Here is a 19,813-nt window from a genome sequence, read left to right on the forward strand (position 1 = left end):
TTGTTAAGTGGATACATACCTGGGGACCCTGGAGCTCCACGGCTGCTGCCCTCACCCTGTTGTTTTCCTCCCTCTCGGATGATGCCATCTTAGAATTCCATGCCTGGAATTTGCCCACCGGCTCTCCTCGCCCCCTCCCACCCCTCGGCTGTGTGTCCCCTTATTCCTGCCCAAGCAGGCAGTTCCCAGATCTACCCCAGATACTCATCCCAATCTGCCACCCCCACCCCTTGAAGATACCCTACCCGGACCTCAGCACCCCTCCCCGAGGCTCCTGTCTCTGCCACCCTCCACCTTCAGCCTCCCTCTCTCTTCTTTTCTGGAGACAGCACCATGCTCTGTTACCCAGGCTGGAGTGCAGTGGTGCGATCTCGGCTCACTACAATCTCCACCTCGCAGGTTCAAGTGATTCTCTTGCCTCAGCCTCCTGAGCAGCTGGGATTACAGGCATGTGCCACCATGCCCAGGTAATTTTTATATTTTTAGTAGAAATGGGGTTTCACCATGTTGGCCAGGCTGATCTGGAACTCCTGGCCTCAGGTGATCTGCCCGCCTCGGCCTCCCAAAGTACTGGGAATACAGGCATGAGCCACCGCGTCCGGCTGAGCCTCCCTACCTGTTCTGACCCAGCTTCCCCACTCTGGCTGCTGTCACCTGCAAGAGGCCAGCCAGCCTCTGAGTGACCTCCAGGGATGGGACAACCTCCAAGGGCAGCCTGTGTTGCCAGGAGAACTCCCAGAATCGGTCCCTCCCGAAATCTCTGCCGCCTTCCCATGGCATCAAGGCTGAGGGCTTCTGTTACCACTGCTGTTTTGTGTTTTTTTTTTTGTTTTTTTTTTGAGACGGAGTCTCGCTCTGTCACCCGGGCTGGAGTACAGTGGTGCAACCTCGGCTCACTGCAAGCTCTGCCTCCTGGGTTCATGCCGTTCTCCTGCCTCAGCCTCCCGAGTAGCTGGGACTATAGGCGCCCGCCACGGTGCCTGGCTAATTTTTTTGTATTTTTTTTAGTAGAGACGGGGTTTCACCCTGTTAGCCAGGATGGTCTCGATCTCCTGACCTTGTGATCTGCCCGCCTCGGCCTCCCAAAGTGCTGGGATTACAGGCGTGAGCCACTGTGCCCGGCCTGTGTATTTTTTTTTTTTTTTTTAAACAGAGACAGGGTCTCGCTATGTTGCTCAGGCTGGTCTTGAACTGCTAGGCTCAAGCAATCCTCCCACCCCAGCCTCCCAAAGTATTGGAATTACAGGTGTGAGCCACTGTACCTGGTTCTGCTGCTGTGTCCTTCAAGGCATGGTAACAGACACTTGGTAACCTCCCCTTGAATCTGGAGTGCCCGAGGGCCTGGGCTGGCAGCCTTGCCAACATCGGGAACTGGTCAAGACTGCACTTTGTTTTGTGTTCATTGTATTTGTTTTCACGGCTAGCCTCTGCACGTGATGCCAATGCTGGCTTGCTCTTTCAGGGAGAGAGGGAGGGAGAGAAAGTGTCTTCTGAAAATAAATGTATTTCGGTAAACAAACAATGTGAGCCTTTTAACTTTTTTTTTTCTTATTTTTTTTTTTTGAGACGGAATCTTGCTCTGTCACCCATGCTGGAGTGCAGTGGCACGATCTTGGCTCACTGTAACCTCCACCTCCCAGGTTCAAGCGATTCTCCTGCCTCGGCCTCCCAAGTAGCTGGGATTACCATGCCCAGCTAATTTTTTTGTATTATTAGTAGAGACGAGGCTTCACCATGCTGAGGTCGAACTCATGACCTCAAGTGATCCGCCCTCCTCAGCCTACCAAAGTGCTGGGATTACAGGCATGAGCCACCACACCCAGCCTAAAATTTTATTTTATATTTACTTACTGACTTATTTATTTTTTTATGTTTTTTTTTTTTTTTTTTTTTTTTTTTGAGACAGAGGCTTGCTCTGTCGCCCAGGCTGGAGTGCAGTGGCATGATCGTGGCTCACTGCAAGCTCCGCCTCCCGGGTTCACGCCATTCTCCTGCCTCAGCCTCCCAGTAGCTGGGACTACAGGTGCCTGCCATCACGCCCAGCTAATTTTTTGTATTTTTAGTAGAGACGGGGTTTCACCGTATTAGCAAGGATGGTCTCAATCTCCTGATCTCGTGATCCACCCGCCTCAGCCTCCCAAAGTGCTGGGATTACAGGCGTAAGCCACCGCGCCCGGCCCTATTTATTTTTTTTTGAGATGGAGTCTCGCTCTGTCACCCAGACTGGAGTGCAGTGGCGCAATCTCGGATCACTGCAACCTCGGCCTCCCGGGTTCAAACGATTCTCCTGTCTCAGCCTCCTGAGTAGCTGGGATTACAGGCACCCACCATCATGCCCAGCTAATTTTTGTATTTTTTTGTAGAGATGGGGTTTCACCATGTTGGCCAGGCTGGTCTTGAACTCCTGACCTCAGGTGATCCTCTTGCTTCAGCCTCCGAGAAGTGCTGGGATTACAGGCGTGAGTCACTGTGCCTGGCCAGCATGAGCCTTTTTTATTTATTTATTTTTGTTTTTGAGACGGAGTTTTGCTCTTGTTGCCCAGGCTAGAGTACAATGGTGTGATCTTGGCTCACGGCAACCTCCGCCTCCTGGGTTCAAGCAATTCTCCTGCTTCAGCCTCCCGAGTAGCTGGGATTACAGGCATGCGCCACCACACCTGGCTAATTTTGTATTTTTGGTAGAGACGGGGTTTCTCCATGTTGGTCAGGCGGATCTTGAACTCCTGACCTCAGATGATCCACCCGCCTCGGCCTCCCAAAATGCTGAGATTACAGGTGTCAGCCACTGTGCCTGGCCAGCACGAGCCTTTTGAAGGAGAGCAGTGAGTGCCTCACAGCACAGGTGGAAGACGGACAGGTGGCCATGAGGGTGGTGGGAAAGCCTGAAACTGGAGCTTGGTTGTTCTCTGGAATCCTGGGTGCCCGGTCTCAGTTGAGCCTTTTACTCATTTGTGCAGTCGGTGGACAGTTTCCTGCTACCCGTTGTGTGTCAGGTGCTGGGAAAATGGAGAGGTCCTAATCACCAGGATATGGGGGAAGATAGTTGTCCCTGGCTGGGTGCAGTGGCTCACATCTATAGTCCCAGCACTTTGGGAGGTTGAGGTGGGAGGATCACTTGAGGCCAGGAGTTTGAGACCAGCCTGGGCAACATAGGGAAACCCTGTCTCTGCCAAAAAAAAAAATTAGCTGGGCATGGCGGCATGTACCTGTAATCCCAGCACTTTGGGATCCTGTTGAGGCATCAGGATCACTTGAACCCAGGAGTTTGAGACTAGCCTGGGAAACATAGTGAGACCTGGTCTCTACAAAAAAATTTTCTTTTTTAATTGGCCGGGCCGGGTGCAGTGGTTCATGCCTGTAATCCCAGCACTTTGGGAGGCTGAGAGGTGGGAGGATCACTTGAGCTCAGGAGTCCAAGACCAGCCTGACCAACATGTTGAAACCCTGTCTCTACTAAAAAAATACAAAAGTAGCTGGGCATGGTTGCACACGCCTGTAATCCCAGCTACTTGTGAGACTGAGGCAGGAGAATCACTTGAACCTGGGAGGCGGAGGTTGCAGGGAGCTAAGATTGCACCATTGTGCTCCAGCCTAGGCAACAAGAGAGAAACTCTGTCTAAAAAAACAAAGACAAAATTAGCCGGGCGTGGCAGTGCACGCCTATAATCCCAGCTACTCAGAAAGCTGAGGTGGGAGGATCACTTGAGCCTGGGAGGTCGAAACTGCAGTGAACCTTGATCATGCCACTGCACTCCAGCCTGGGCAACAAAGCAAGACCCTGTCTCAAAAACAAAAACACAAAAAACAGTTGCCCGTGGCTGGGTGCAGTGGCTCATGCCTGTAATCCCAGCACTTTGGGAGACCGAGGCGGGCGGATCATTTGAAATCAGGAGTTCGAGACCAGCCTGACCAACATGGTAAAACCCCGTCTCTACTAAAAATACAAAAAAAATTAGCCGGGCATCATGGTGCGTGTCTGTAGTCCCAGATACTTGGGAGGCTGAGGCAGGAGAATTGCTTGAACCTGGGAGGTGGAGGGTGCAGTGAGCTGAGATCACACCACTGCACTCCATCCAGCCTGGGTGACAGCAAGACTCCGTCTTTAAAAAAAAAAAAAAAAAAAAAAGGCCAGGCACGGTGGCCCATGCCTGTAATCCCAGCACTTTGGGAGGCCAAGGCGGGCGGATCACGAGGTCAGGGGTTCGAGACCAGCCTGACCAACATGGTGAAACCCTGTCTCTACTAAAAATACAATAATTAGCCGGGTGTGGTGGCACGCGCTTGTAATCCCAGCTACTCAGGAGGCTGAGGCAGGAGAATCGCTTGAACCTGGGAGGCGGAGATTGCGGTGAGTAGAGATTGTGCCACTGCACTCCAGCCTGGGTGACAGAGCGAGACTCCATCGCAAAAAAAAAAAAAAAAAAATTGTTGCCCCAAAAGTTCTGAGAAAGATGAGGTAGGAGAACCCAGGAGGGGAGTGTCCCCTAACCCAGCCCAGCGGCGATTGGTCGGCCCTCCTAGAGGAAGTGTCTGTTGAACAGAGTCGTGAAGAGCTGGGAGGAATTTGGCAGGCTGAAGGGAGGGCATTACTGGTAGGGAATGGCATGTGCCAAGGTCCATTTGCTGGGGAGCACCGTGCCAGGCCAGTGGGAGCACTTGCAGGATTCAAAGCTGCGGGTCTGATTTGCAGGCAAGAAGAAAGACCTGGGTGCTGAGTGGGGAGGCGGCCACCATGATTCAATCAAGAAATGGGAGCCGTGGAAATCGGGCAGAGGAGGGACTGTCGCGGGAAAGACGGACGTAATCGTAGGGCTTAATGAGGAGCTGAGTGCCGAGAGGGTGTGAGATGGAGTCAGAGATGACTCTCAGAATTTTGTCCCTGAAGACTGGGTGGAGGGTGGGATCTTGGCCAAGAAGCCAGGGGAGGAGGAAAGAAGGCTCTGTGGGAGATGACTTCAGCCCTGACGTGTCTGGACAGCGCGCAGACGGGAGGTATTGGGGCAGCAGGTTTGGCTTTGGCGGGATGGTGACCTGGGAGCAGCAGAAATCTGGAAACTGACAGCATGGACGTGCTGGCCGCAGCTTCCAGGCAGGTGAATTTCCCAGGGAGAGCAGATGGTGTGAGGGGATCCAGGACTGGCATAATTTAGGGAGAAAAACCAGCACAAATTAGAGAAAACAGCAGAGAGGAGGGGAACCAGGAGGTCATGATTCTGGGAAGGAGGGATGGACAAGGGGAGGAGATGCTACTAGAGGGTCCCAGTTTCATGCTTAGAGGAATTGACCACTTGGGATTGGCCATGGGAGGCTGCGACTGATGGCCAAAAGCCAAAGGCTGGAGTAGTAGGGTGGGGACAGAGAGGTGGCAGTGGACAGTGAATAGAAGCAGGAAGGCAAGTCCTGTTTTCCAATAATTCTTTTTTTTTTTTTTTTTTTTGAGACAAAGTCTCACTCTTGGCCCCCCAGGCTGGAGTGCGCAATGGAGCGATCTCGGCTAACTGCAACCTCCGCCTCCCGGGTTCAAGCGATTCTCCTGCCTCAGCCTCTCGAGTGGCTGGGATTACAGGTGCCCGCCACCAAGCCCAGCTAATTTTTGTATTTTTAGTAGAGATGGGGTTTCTCCATGTTGGCCAGGCTGGTCTCGAACTCCTGACCTCAGGTGATCCACCCACCTCCGCCTCCCAAAGTGCTGGGATTATAGGCGTGAGCCACCGTACCCGGCCGTGTTTTCTGATAATTCTGAGGCTACTGCTGATGAGCTGAGTGTCTCTGGGCCCATGTCTGTCTGGAATGCCTGGTGCCACAGAGCTGGGGTCAAATTACTGCCTGGCCATTTGTCAGCTATGTGACCCTGTGTAGGTGATCCGGCATGTCTCCAAGACTCAGTTTGTTCATCTGTGAAATGAGAATGGTGACCGGGCAAGGTGACTCACGCCTGTAATTCCAGCACTTTGGGAGGCCAAGGCGGGCGGATCATTTAAGTACAGGAGTTCAAGACCAGCTTGGCCAACATGGTGAAACTCCGTCTCTACTAAAAAATGCAAAAATTAGCCAGGTGTGGTGGCGCATGCTTATAATCCCAGCTACTTGGGAGGCTGAGACGGGAGAATCGCTTGAATCCGGGAGGCAGAGGTTGCAGTGAGCCGAAGTCACACCACTGCACTCCACTCCAGCCTGAGTGACAGAGCAAGACTCTGTCTTAAAAAAAAAGAATGGTAACAGTATCTTCCTCAGGGTGTGACTGATATTTCCAATGCAGGGAGGTAAGGGCTTGTCCCTGGGTAAGCGTCTGATGGATAATACCTGGGATGGTACCAACGCTATTGGTCACTGGTGCCTTAGGATAATCCTGGTGTGGGTGTGGGCAAAAGCCTGCTCTCCCACAGAACAGTCTGGCTTTGCACCTGCTTGGCCCTATATGAATCTACCTCCATGTATGCTGTCACCAGGGAGCAGCACAGGGGCCCAGCCAACAGCTGGTGGGAGGAGGGGCAGATGTTAGAGCAGGTTGAGTGAAGGAAGGATCCCATCAGAGCATAACCCAGATTTCACAATTATCTCCACCCTGGAAGGTGGGCAGGGACATCACCAAAGGGGCTGATCTTGATGGAAAATTGGTTTCTTGGCCCGTGTAGTGGCTCATGCCTGTAATCCCAGCACTTTGGAAGGCCGACGTGGGCAGATTGCTTGAGCAAAAGAGTTCAAGACCAGACTGGGCACAGTGGCTCACGCCTGTAATCCTAGCACTTTGGGAGGCTGAGGCAGGCGGATTGCCTGAGGTCAAGAGTTCGAGACCAGCCTGGCCAACATGCTGAAACCCCGTCTCTACTAAAAACACAAAAATTAGGCCAGGCGCAGTGGCTCACACCTGTAATCCCAGCACTTTGGGAGGCCGAGGCAGACGGATCACCTGAGGTCAGGAGTTCGAGACCAGCCTGACCAACATGGAGAAACCCTGTCTCTACTAAAAATACAAAATCAACTGGATGTGGTGGTGCATGCCTGTAGTCCCAGCTACTTGGGATGCTGAGGCAGGAGAATTGCTTAAACCTGGGAGGTTGATGTTGCCGTGAGCCAAGATTGCACCATTGCACTCCAGCCTGGGCAACAAGAGCGAAACTGTCTCAAAAAAAAGAGAATTGGTTTCTTAAGTAGTGAGGTGGGGGTAGAGGGCTCATTCCCTACCAAAAATGCCCCCTCTCCTGTATCAACCCTGTCTCCTGTATCAAACACACCTTCAGTGGAAATCTTTTCATTTTCATGTACTATAATTTTCTATTTAAAAAGTCACCCTTAATATATATACATACACTGGAATATGATTCAGGTTTTTTTTCTTCTTTTTCCTTGAGACAGAGTCTCACTCTGTCACCCAGGCTGGAGTGCAGTGGTGCGATCTCGGCTCACTGCAACCTCTGCCTTGATCTTGGCTCAAGCAATTCTCATGCCTCAGCCTTCCAAGTATCTGGGACTTACTTGGAAGTAAGCTGGCCACCACGCCTAGCTAATTTTTGCATTTTTAGTGGAGATGGGGTTTCACCATGTTGCCCAGGCTGGTCTCGAACTCCTGATCGCAAATGATCCACCCGTCTCAGCCTCCCAAAGTGCTCGGCTTACAGGCATGAGTCACTGCACCCAGCCTGATTCAGCCTTAAAAGGGAAGGATGTAACATGTCATGTGGGTGAACCTTGAGGACATTATGGTACATGAAATCAGCCAGTCACAAAAGGGGAGATACTGTGTGATTCCACTTACATGAGGCCCCTAGCGTCACCAGATTCACACAGAGAGAAAGTAGAATGGTGGGTGCCAAAGGAGAGGGAACAGGGAATTATTGATTATTAGGCATGGATTTTCAGGTTTTTGTTGCTGTTGTTTTGAGACGGAGTCTCACTATGTTGCTGGGCTGGAATGCAGTGGCGTGATCTCGGCTCACCGCAACCTCTGCCTCCTGGGTTCAAGCGATTCTCCTACCTCAGCCTCCCGAGTAGCTGGGATTACAGGCGCCCGCCACCACGCCCAGACAATTTTTGTATTTTTAGTAGAGACGGGGTTTCACCATGTTGGCCAGGATGGTCTCGATCTCTTGACCTCATGATCCGTCCATTTCGGCCTCCCAAAGTGCTGAGATGACAGGTGTGAGCTACTGTGCCCTGCCAGAGTCTCACGATCCGTCCGCCTCGGCCTCCCAAAGTGCCGAGATGACAGGTGTGAGCCAACGTGCCCTGCCAGAGTTTCAGTTTTACAACATGAAAGAATTCTGGAGCTGGATGGTGGTTATGGTTACACAACCATGTGAAATATTTAATGCCACTGAACTGTATAATTAAACACGATTAATGGTAAATGTTGAGTATTTTACCACAATTAAAAAAAATTTTTAAATATGTCAGCCGAGCATGGTGGCTCACACCTATAATCCCAGCACTTTGGGAGGCCTAAGTGGGCAGATCACCTGAGGCCAGTAGTTTGAGACCAGCCTGGCCAGCATGGCGAAACCCCATCTCTACTAAAAATATAAAAAATTAGCTGGGTGTGGTGTAGGTGCCTGTAATCCCAGCTACGCAGCAGGCTGAGGCAGGAGAATTGCTTGAACCTGGGAGGCGGAGGTTGCAGTGAGCTGAGATCCCGCCGTTGCACTGCAGCCTGGGCAACAAGAGCAAAACTCCGTCTCAAAAAAAAAATTTTTTTTTTAAGAAGTCACCCTTAAACCCACTCCTTATAAAAAAAAATCAGTGAAGGCCGATCATGGTGGCTCATGCCTGTAATCCCAGCACTTTGGGAAGCCAAGGTGAGAGGATCACTTGAGATCAGGAGTTCAAGACTAGCCTGGCCAACATGGTGAAACCTTGTCTCTCCTAAAAATACAGAAATTAGCTGGGCATAGGGGCACATGCCTGTAATCCCAGCTACTTGGGAGGCTGAGGCAGGAGAATCACTTGAACCCCTGGGGCGGAGGTTGCAATGAGCAGAGATTGCGCCATTGCACACACCAGCCTGGGCCGGTGAGACTTCATCTAAAAAAAAAAAAAAATCCATGAATGCCAGGTGTGGTGGCTCATGCCTGTAATCCTAGTACTTTGGGAGGCTGAGGCAGGCGGATCCCCTGAGTCCAAGAGTTTGAGACCAGCCTGGCAACATGGTGAAACCCCATCTCTACAAAAAATTAAAACAGTAGCTAGGCAAGGTAGTGCACACCTGTAATCCCAGCTACTTGGGGAGCTGAGCTGGGAGTATCACCTGAGCCCAGGAAGTGGAGGCTGCAGTGAGCTATGATCAGTAAAACACAAGACAGGTTCACTGGCTCCCATCCCAACCCGGACCAGCTCCCTAGTATAACAACTCACATGCATGTGGACTATACCCTTAGAGCCTTCTTCTTCTTTCTTCTTTTTTCTTCTTCTTCTTTCTTCTTTTTTCTTCTTCTTCTTCTTCGTGTGTCGCTCTCACCCAGGCTGGAGTTCAGTGCGATCCCAGCTCACTGCAACCTCCGTCTCCTGGGTTCAAGTGATTCTCCTGCCTCATCCTCTGGAGTAGCTGGGATGACAGGTGCCTGCCACCACGCCCAGCTATTTTTTTGTATTTTTAGTAGAGACAGGGTTTCACCATGTTGGCCAGGCTGGTCTCGAAATCCTGACCTTAGGTGATCTGCTGCCTGCCTTGGCCTCCCAAAGTGCTAGGATTACAGGTGTGAGCCAACATGCCCAGCCTTTTTTGTTTTTTGAGAAAGGGTCTCACTCTGTCAGACAGGCTGGAATGCAGTGGCATGTTCAGGACTCACTATAGCCTCAACCTCCCAAGCTCAAGTGATCCTCCTGCCTCAGCCCCTAAAGTAGCTGGGACTACAGGCATGTGCCAACACACCCAGCTAGTTGTTATTTGCTGTTGTTGTTGTTTTAATTTTAGTAGAGACAAGGTCTCACTGTGTTTCCCAGGCTGGCCTCGAACTCCTGAGCTCAAGTGATCTTCCCGCCTCAGCCTCCCAAAGTGCTGGGGTTACAGGTGTGAGCCACCACATCTGGCCTTACAGCCTTCTTCTGTGTGTTTATGTGCATATATGTAGCCATAGGGAAAAAAATCAAAATCCTTTGGTGTTCTTTCTTATTTTTTCAAATATTTCACCTGCCCCATTCTCTTTCCTTTCTCCTTCTAGTACTCCCATTGCATGCAAGTTAGACCTTTTTTTTTCTTTTTTTTTCTTTTTTTTGAGACGGAGTCTCGCCTGAGCTGGAGCACAGTGGTGCGATCTCAGATCTCGGCTCACTCCAGCCTCTGCCTCCCAGGTTCACATGATTCTCCTGCCTCAGCCTCCCGAGTAGCTGGGATTACAGGCATGTGCCACCACGCCTGGCCAATTTTTGTATTTTTATTAGAGAGAGGGTTTCATCATGTTGGCCAGGCTGGTTTCAAACTCCTGGACCCAAGTGATCCGCCCAATTCAGCCTCCTAAAGTGCTGGGATTACAGGCGGGAGCCACTGTGCCCAGCCATAAGTTAGATCTTTTGATATCATCCAGAAAATACCAAGGCTCTATACAGTTTCTAAATTGAGGTAAAATATATGTAATATAAAATTAACCATTTTAAACATGTTTAAGTGTGCAACTTAGTAGTATTCAGTACATTCAAAGTGTTGTGCAACCATTACCACTATCCATTTTTACTTAAACTTTTTTCTTCTCTGTTCTTCAGTTTGGATATTTGCTATCAATCTGTCTTTAAATTTGTTAGCACTTTCTTTTATCATCTCCAATGCGCTATCAAGCCCAAACAGTGAATTTTTAAATTTCAGATTGTGTATATTTTTAAGTTTTATAATTTCCATTTGTTTTTTGTTTTGTTTGTTTGTTTGTTTTTGAGACAGGGTCTCACTCTGTTGCCCAGGCTGGAATGCAGTGGTGCAATCACAGCTCACTGCAGCCTCAACCTCTTGGGCTCAAGTGATCCTCTTGCCTCAGCCCCCCAAGTAGCTGGGACTACAGGCTTATGCCACCACGCTCAGCTAATTTTTGTATTTTTTGTAGAGACGGTGTTTCACCATGTTGCCCAGCTGCTCTTGAACCCCTGAACTCTAGTGATCCACCCACCTTGGCGTCTCAAAGTGCTGGGATTACAGACATAATAGCTGCCTCAAACACCTTTCTGCTAATTCCAACATCTGGGTCACCTCAGAGCCAGTCTCCTTTAACTTCCTTCTTTCCTGAGCATGGGCCATGTTTTCCAATTTTGTGAGATGTCAAGAAATTTTGGATTGAGTGCTGGATATTGTGGAAGATATGTTGTAGAGTCTCTGGATTCTGTTATGTTCCTTTGAAGAGCAATGATTTTTTAAAATTTAACTATTTTTTTATCAGGCAGTTAACCTGGCTGGACTCAGACTCCAAAGTCTGTTTCTCCTGTGGTGGGTAGCAGATGAAATCTTGGCCTAGTTCTGTTAGCCTCAGCAAGGCTAGTTGGAATACGTTCAATATCCATGGGCTAAGAGTCAGCAAGAGATGTACACAGACTTTTAATGTAGAATATGGGGCTTTCCATCTCTGGCTCTTTTCTTTTCTTTTTCTTTTTTGAGATGGAGTCTTGCTCTGTCGCCCAGGCTGGAGTGCAGTGGTGTGATCTCGGTTCACTGCAAGCTCCACCTCCTGGGTTCACACCATTCTCCTGCCTCAGCCTCCCGAGTAGCTGGGATTACAGATGCCCGCCACCATGCCCGGCTAATTTTCTTTTTGTATTTTTAGTAAAGACAGGGTTTCATCGTGTTAGCCAGGATGGTCTCGATTTCCTGACCTCGTGATCCGCCTGCCTTGGCCTCCCAAAGTTCTGGGATTACAAGCATGAGGCACTGTGCCCAGCATTTTTTTTTTTTTTTTTTTTTTAGAGACAGTCTCCCAGGCTGGAGTGCAGTGGTGCAATCATAGCTTCTGGGCTCAAAGGATCCTCCCACCTCAGCCTCCTGAGTAGCTGGGACTACAGGCATGTACCACCTCACCCAGCTTTTTCTTTTTTTTTTTTGGTAGAGACAGGGTCTCACTATCTTGCCAAAGCTGGTCTCAAACTCCTAGCCTCAAGTAATCCTCCCACCTCAGCCTCCCGAAGCAGTGGAATTATAGGCATGAGTTACGACACCCGGCCCTATCCTCTTAATCTTTAAGCCAGTTTTTATCTCCAATGAATAGCAATAAAAATGAGAAATTCACCCAGTGCCATTTCTTTCTTCCATTTATAGATTCCCTTCCGATTGCTACTTGTTTTTCCTCTTTAGAGTGATACTGTCCAGTAGAATTTTATTTCTTTTTTCTTTTCTTTTTTTTAAGACAGAATCTTGCTCTGTCACCCAGGCTGGAATACAGTGGTGCAATCTCGGCTCGCTGCAACCTCTGCCTTCCAGGTTTAAGCGATTCTCCTGCCTCAGCCTCCCTAGTAGCTGGGATTACAGGCACGTGCCACCACACCCGGCAATTTTTTTGTATTTTTAGTAGAGACGGGGTTTCTCCATGTTGGTCAGGCTGATCTCGAACTCCCGACCTCAGATGATCTGCCCACCTCGGCCTCCCAAAGTGCTGGGATTATAGGCATGAGCCACTGTGCCCGGCCTAGAATTTTCTACAATGATGGAAATGTTCCATATCTGAATTCTGCAAAGTGGTAGCCACTGGCTACATGTGGCTATTGAGTATACAAATGTTGTTAGTGCAACATATTTATTAAAACCTTTTTATTTAAACCTTTTTTTTTTTTTTTGAGACACGGTCTCACCCTGTTGCCCAGGTTAGAGTGCTGGTGGTGTGATCACAGCTCCCTGCAGCCTAGATCTCCCAGGCTTGTCATCCTTCCACCTCAGCCTCCTAGAGAGTAGCTAGGACTACAGGGAGACACCACCATGCCTCGCTGATTTTTTTTTTTTTTTTTTTTTTTTTTGAAGTGGAGGTGAGGTTTCACTATGTTGTCCAGGCTGGTCTTAAACTCCTAGGCTTGAGTGATCCTCCCGCCTTGACTTCCCAAAGTGCTGGGGTTACAGACATAAGCCACTGCAGCCAGCCTGAATCTTTTTATTTTATTTTTTTTAAGAGATGAGGGTCTCTCTATGTTGTCCAGCCTGGTCTCAAATTCCTGGCCTCAAGCAATCCTCCAACTTCAGCCTGGGATTACAGGCAAAAGCCACCACACTCGGCTAATTTTTTTTTGGGGGGCGGAGTCTTGCTCTGTCACCCAGGCTGGAGTGCAGTGCTGTGATCTTAGCTCACTGCAACTTCCGCCTCCCAGGTTCAAGCGATTCTCCTGCCTCAGCCTCCCGAGTAGCTGGGATCACAGGCACGTACCACCACACCCAGCTAATTTTTTGTATTTTTAGTAGAGACGGGGTTTCACCATGTTGGCCAGGCTGGTCTCAAACTCCTGACCTCAGGTGATCCGCCTGCCTCGGCCTCCCAGAGTGCTGGGATTACAGGTGTGAGCCACCGTGCCTGGCCCAGGTAGTTGTTTTTTTATATTTAGCTCAGTGTTTATCATTGTTATCTATGAAAGAGCTGGCCTGATGTGGCTGACTTCACCATTACCAGAAGGAGAATTCTTGTGGTTTTCCATTGTATAAATTATCAGGCCATTAGTGTCTCTCTGTACTTTGCTTTTATTTTTTTTAACTCCATAATCCTCCCAAGCCATTGAACATAGCTCTTCCTCCACCCCATACCTCCTTTAGTAATTTTTAAAATTAAAAAATTTTTTAATTGTGGGGCCGGGCGCGGTGGCTCACGTCTGTAATCCCAGCACTTTGGGAGGCCATAGCAGGTGGATCGCTTGATTCCAAGAGTTTGAGACCAACCCGGGTGACATGGCGAAATCCTGTCTCTACAAACAAACAAAAACACAAAAATTAGCTGGGCATGGTGGCACACGCCTGTAGTCCCAGCTGCTCAGGAGGCTGAAGTGGGAGGACCACTTGAGCCTGGGTGGTGAAGGTTGCAGTTAGATAGCACCACTGCACTCCAGCCTGAGCAACAGAGACCTCGTCTCAAAATAAGAGAGTCGGCTGGGCGTGGTGGCTCACGCCTGTAATCCCAGCACTTTGGGAGGCCGAGGCGGGCGGATCACGAGGTCAGGAGATCGAGACCATCCTGGCTAACACGGTGAAACCCCGTCTCTACTAAAAATACAAAAAATTAGCCGGGCATGGTGGCAGGTGCCTGTAGTCCCAGCTACTCGGGAGGCTGAGGCAGGAGAATGGCGTGAACCCAGGAGGCAGAGCTTGCAGTGAACTGAGATTGCGCCACTGCACTCCAGCCTGGGCGACAGAGTGAGACTCCATCTCAAAAAAATAAATAAGACAGTCTCCCTCTGTCTCCAAGGTTGGAGTACAGTAGTGCAGTCATAGCTCACTGCAGCCTCCAACGCCTGGGCTCATGCAGTCCTCCCGAGTAGCTGCACCACAGGCATGAGCCACAGCCCCCAGCTTCCAGAACCTTTTTGTTTTCCAAAACTGAAATGCTGTACTTTACCCATTCAATTTTAACTCCCCATTTCCCTTCCCCTGGCACCCACCATTCTATTTTTTTTTTTTTTTTTTTTTTTTTTTTGGAGACAGAGTCTTGCTCTATCCCCCAGGCAGGAGTGCAGTGGCTTGATCTAAACTCACTGCAACTTCTGCTTCCCGGGTTCAAGCAATTCTCCTGCCTTAGCCTCTCAAGTAGCTAGGATTACAGGCACGCATCACTATGCCCAGCTAATTTTTGCATTTTTAGTAGAGGTGGGGTTTCACCTTGTTAGCCAGGCTGGTCTCGAACTCCTGACCTCAGGTGATCCACCTGCCTCGGCTTCTCATAGTGCTGGGATTACAGGCATGAGCCACCACGCCCGGCCCCATTCTACTTTCTGTCACTATGAATGGGACTATTCTAGAGACCTCATATAAGTGGAATCATACAGGATTTGTCCTCTTGTGACAGGTTTATTTCATTCAGCATAACGTCCTCAAGATTTATCCATATTGTATCTTTCTCTTTTTCTTTCTTTCTTTCTTTTTTTTTTTTTTCAGACAGAGTTTCACTCTTGTTGCCCAGACTGGAGTGCAATGGCAGGATCTCGGCTCACTGCAACCTCTGCCTCCTGGGTTCAAGCAATTCTCCTGACTCAGCCTCCCGAGTAGCTGGGATTACAGGCACACACCACCATGCCTGGCTAATTTTTGTATTTTTAGTAGAAACGGGGTTTCACCATGTTGGCCAAGATGGTCTTGATCTCCTGACCTCGTGATCTGCCCCCCTCAGCCTCCCAAAGTGCTGGGATTACAGGCGTGAACGACCGCACCTGGCATAATAGGGACGAGGTTTCACTATGTTGGTCAGGCTAGTCTCAAACTCCTGACCTCAGGTGATCCACCTGCCTCGGCCTTCCAATGTGCTGGGATTACAGGGCCATCTTTTTGCTTTTTTTTCCCCATTTGCTGTTTTAAAACTTCTAGTTCAGGCCGGGCATGGTGGCTAATGCCTATAATCCCAGCACTTTGGGAGGCCGAGGGAGGTGGATCTCCTGAGGTCAGGAGTTCGAGACCAGCCTGGCCATCATAGGGAAACCCTGTCAAAAAATAAATAAAAAATACAACTTCTAGTTCAGGCTGGGTGTGGTGGCTCATGCCTATAATCCCAGCACTTTGGGATGCCGAGGTGGGAGGATTGCTTGAACCTAGGAGTTTGAGACTAGCCCAGGCAACATAGTGAGACCCTCCCCCCAATCTCTATAAAGAATTTTAAAATTAGGCAGGCTGGTGGCATGTGTCTGTGGTTCCAGCTACTCAGGAGGCTGAGGTGGGAGGATCACCTGAGCCCCAGGTGGGTTGAGGCTGCAATGAGCTGTGATCGTGCCACTGTAGTCCAGCCTGGGTAACAAGAGCAAGACCCTATCCCAAAACAAAAACAAAACAGGCCGGGCGCGGTGGCTCACGCCTGTAATCCCAGCACTTTGGGAAGCCGAGGCGGGCAGATCACGAGGTCAGGAGATCAAGACCATCCTGGCTAACACGGTGAAACCCCGTCTCTACCAAAAATACAAAAAAATTAGCTGGGCATGGTGGCGGGCACCTGTAGTCCCAGCTACTCCGGGGGCTGAGGCAGGAGAATGGGGTAAACCGGGAGGCGGAGCTTGCAGTGAGCCGAGATCGCGCCACTGCACTCCGGCCTGGGTGACAGAGTGAGACTCTGTCTCAAAACAAACAAAAAAATGCCTTCTAGTTGAAAAGGTTTTACATGTCCTATTTCATGACTTGTCATTTGGTGTACCAGAGTTTTGTTAGTTCAAATCGAGAAAGACGTTTCCTAACATGACATATGCGTTAGTAAGGTTTTCTTTGGAGGGGGAACTCTGTATATGCTAGGTGTTTCTTAAACTTTCCCAAGAGTTTGGGTCAAATTTCTGCTTATGGCTGGGCGTGGTGGTTCATGCCTGCAATCCCAGCACTTTGGGAGGCCAAGGCAAGAGGAACGCTTGAGCCCAGCCTGGGCAACATGGTGAAATCCCATCTCTACAAAAAAGTACAAAAATTAGCTGGGTGTGGTGGCACCCGCCTGTAGTCCTAGCTACTTGGGATGCTGAGGTGGGAGGATCACTTAGGCCCAAGACGCAGAGGTAGCAATGAGCCGTGATCTCGCCACGGCACTCTAGCCTGAGCAACAGAACCAGGCCCTGTCTTCTAAAAAAAAAAAAAAAAAAAAAGAAAGAAAGAAAAAACAGGGCTGGGCGTGGTGGCTCATGCCTGTAATCCCAGCACTTTGGGAGGCTAAGGCAGATGGATCACTTGAGGCCAGGAGTTTGAGACCAGCCTGGCCAACATGGCGAAACCCCATCTCTACTAAAAATACAAAAATTAGCCAGGCATCGTGGCATGGACCTATAATTCCAGCTACTCAGTGTGGCTGAGGCAGTAGAATCGCTTGAACCAGAGAGGTAGAGGTTGCAGTGAACTGAGATCAGGCCACTGCACTCCAGCCTGGGCAACAGAGCGAGACTCTGTCTCAAAAAAAAAAAAAAAAAAAAAAAAACGAAAAGGAGAAAAGAAAGAAATCTGTTTATTTCTTAGCTTGCAAGTCACCTTGCTGTTAGTTCTCTCACAGTTATCTGCCCCAGGAACACAGAGACGATTATAGATAAAGATCCTGTTACCTTGGACCTGGTAAAGGCTGCTGGACTAGGTGTAGCTCACTCAGCCTCCAGCTTTCTGTTCATTATCTTGATTGAGGGGGTGATTTCATGGGTGTGTACATATGTCAAAATGTGTTGGAACTGCTGGGTGCCGTGGCTCATGCCTGTACTCTCAGCACTTTGGGAGGCGGAGGCGGGCAGACCACCTGAGGTCAGGATTTCAAGACCAGCCTGGCCAACATTGTGAAACCCCATTTCCACTAAAAACACAAAAAAAGTTAGCCACGCATGGTGGTGGATGCCTGTGATCCCAGCTACTTGGGAGGCTGCGGCAAGAGGATCACTTGAACCCAGGAAGTAGAGGTTGCAGTGAGCCAAGATCATTCCACTGCACTCCAGCCTGGGCATAGAGACTGCATCTCAAAAAAACAGAAAAAAGTAGGCCAGGCATGGTGGCTTATGCCTGTAATCCCAGCACTTTGGGAGGCTGAGGTGGGTGGATCACAAGGTCAGGAGATTGAGACCATCCTGGCTAACATGGTGAAACCCCAACTCTACTAAAAATACAAAAAAATTAGCCGGGCGTGGTGGTGGGCGCCTGTAGTCCCAGCTACTCAGGAGGCTGAGGCAGGAGAATGGCGTGAACCCGGGAGGTGGAGCTTGCAGTGAGCCGAGATTGCGCCACTGCACACCAGCCTGGGCGACAGAGCGAGACTCCGTGTCAAAACAAAACAAAAAAAAGTGTTGGATCTCACACTTTAAACACGTACAGCTTCTTGCCTGTTGATTATACCTCCGTAATGCTGTTTTTATTTTTATTTTTTTACCATTAATAGCCCAAGTGGGCCCCCTCACACTCCCACGTGTATACTTAATCCTGTCTCTGTGCGAGTAACAATCAGATGGTAATCCCCCCCCACAATCCCTGCTCCACTACTCCACCTCTGGGGCTGGGGACTGCTCATTTTTTCCCTCCAACCCCCCAGAGACCAGATCCTCTCTCCTCCCTCACGGACCTCCCCACTTTACTCTGGGATGCTGGGGGCCCCTGGAGATCTCACCCTGGCCTGACCATCACTAACTGGGGAGAGACTTAGAGGCAGACTTGAATACTCCAACCTCCAGGGAGCCAGGGCTGGCTCAGAAGAAAGGTCTAGGGGCAGGGAGGGGTATTGGCTGGGGAGGGGACTCTGCCTAGCATAGGAAGAGCAGGGGAGGCCTCTTAAATAGGGATTTTAATCTGATCCAGGACTTGAAAGGCAAGTGGGAACTGGCCCAGGGAAGAGGGCGGAGGCATGTTGGAAAAAGGGCACTGATGCAGAGGCCTGGAGGCTTGGGGCTGGTCTTGGGAATCATACCATCTGGATGGCATGGGGCTGAGGTAACCAGAGCTTGAATAGAACTGCAGAAGAGACAGATGATTCCAGAAGGGTAAGGAGGTGGAGGCCCCTCTTTACTTCCTTCCCACAGCAGGCACCAGGCCAGAGTTGGGTGGGCACCTGCTGGGGGATCCTCATGGTCCAGTATTGGTTGTAGGTTTTGAGGGGGCTGACAGGAGAGGTGGTTGCCAGGGAATGGTTCCAAGAAGATGCAATAGGGGAGGAGGCTGGGGATACCCAGGGGACATGGCCCAGCTTACGGAGGCTCCTGAGCTTCCAGGGGCATAGACATTAAGAAATTGCACGCTGAGCCCGAGTGTGGTGGCTTGTGTCGGTAATCCTAGCACTTTGGGAAGCCATAGTGGGAGAATGGCTCAAGACCAGGAGTGCAAGACCAGCCTGGGCAACATACCAAGACCCTATCTCTACAAAAAAATAACAAAAATTAGCTGGGTGTGGTGGCATGCTCCTGTAGTCCCAGCTGCTTGGAAGGCTGAGGCGGGAGGATCACTTAAGTCCAAGAGTTCAAGGCTGTAGTGAGCTGCAATGGTGCCACTGCACTCCAGTCTGGGCAACAGAATGAGACCCCATCTCTTTAAGAAAGAAAAATTGTGGCCAGGTGTGGTGGCTCACACCTGTAATCCCAGCACTTTGGGAGGCTGAGGCAGGTGGATCACCTGAGGTCAAGAGTTCGAAACCAGCCTGGCCAGCATGGTGAAACTCCGTCTCTACTAAAATAAAAATTACCCGGGCATGATGGCAAACACCTGTCATCCTAGTTATTCAGGTGGGTGAGGCAAAAGAATTGCTTGAACCCGGGAGGCAGAGGTTGCAGTGAGCCGAGATCGCGCCACTGTACTCCAGCCTGGGCAACAAGAGCAAAACTCCGTCTCAAAAAAAAAAAAGAAAAAGAAAAAAGAAAAATTGCATGATTAGCTTCTAGTACCCCGAAAGCTTAGAGGGCAAGTAGAAGGAGGAGCTTGCTTTTTGGGGAAACTTTAATCAGCAGAGGTAGGCCTGGGGAGGCCTCCGCAGGACCGTATGAACCCTGAGCCCACTGTGGGAGCAGAGCAGCCCCCTCCTCACCCAAGGAAGCTTCTATCCTTGACTGTCCCCCTTGCTGACTGAGTGACCTGTGATCTGTCTCTAGTCATTTCTTGCTTTGAGCCTTGGGCTTCCCAGTTCCCACGTTTCCTTTATGGGAATGTTTATGGAGATCAAGCCAACCATGCCTGTTAAGGGTGGGTTATTTTTCTAGAGAGTTTGACCACCTGAGCTAACATCCTTGCACCCTCCCACCTGTCCAT

General features: G+C 49.9%; 1 protein-coding gene across 10 annotated transcripts in view, besides 1 other annotated feature; it reads left to right on the top strand.

The window, feature by feature from the left end:
• CERS4 (ceramide synthase 4) overlaps positions 1–19,813 on the top strand; it is a 53,052-nt gene that overhangs the window by 10,631 nt on the left and 22,608 nt on the right. The window lies entirely within an intron of this gene.
• Positions 128–634: an enhancer, noted in NCBI's record as "H3K27ac-H3K4me1 hESC enhancer chr19:8285012-8285518 (GRCh37/hg19 assembly coordinates)". NCBI's record gives its function as "activates a minimal SCP1, AML or CMV promoter by ChIP-STARR-seq in primed H9 embryonic stem cells {active_cell/tissue: H9 hESC(primed)}" and the evidence as "EXISTENCE:reporter gene assay evidence [ECO:0000049][PMID:30033119]".

The sequence above is a fragment of the Homo sapiens genome, chromosome 19, assembly GCF_000001405.40.
Source record: "Homo sapiens chromosome 19, GRCh38.p14 Primary Assembly".
In the NCBI taxonomy this organism is placed as follows: domain Eukaryota; kingdom Metazoa; phylum Chordata; class Mammalia; order Primates; family Hominidae; genus Homo; species Homo sapiens.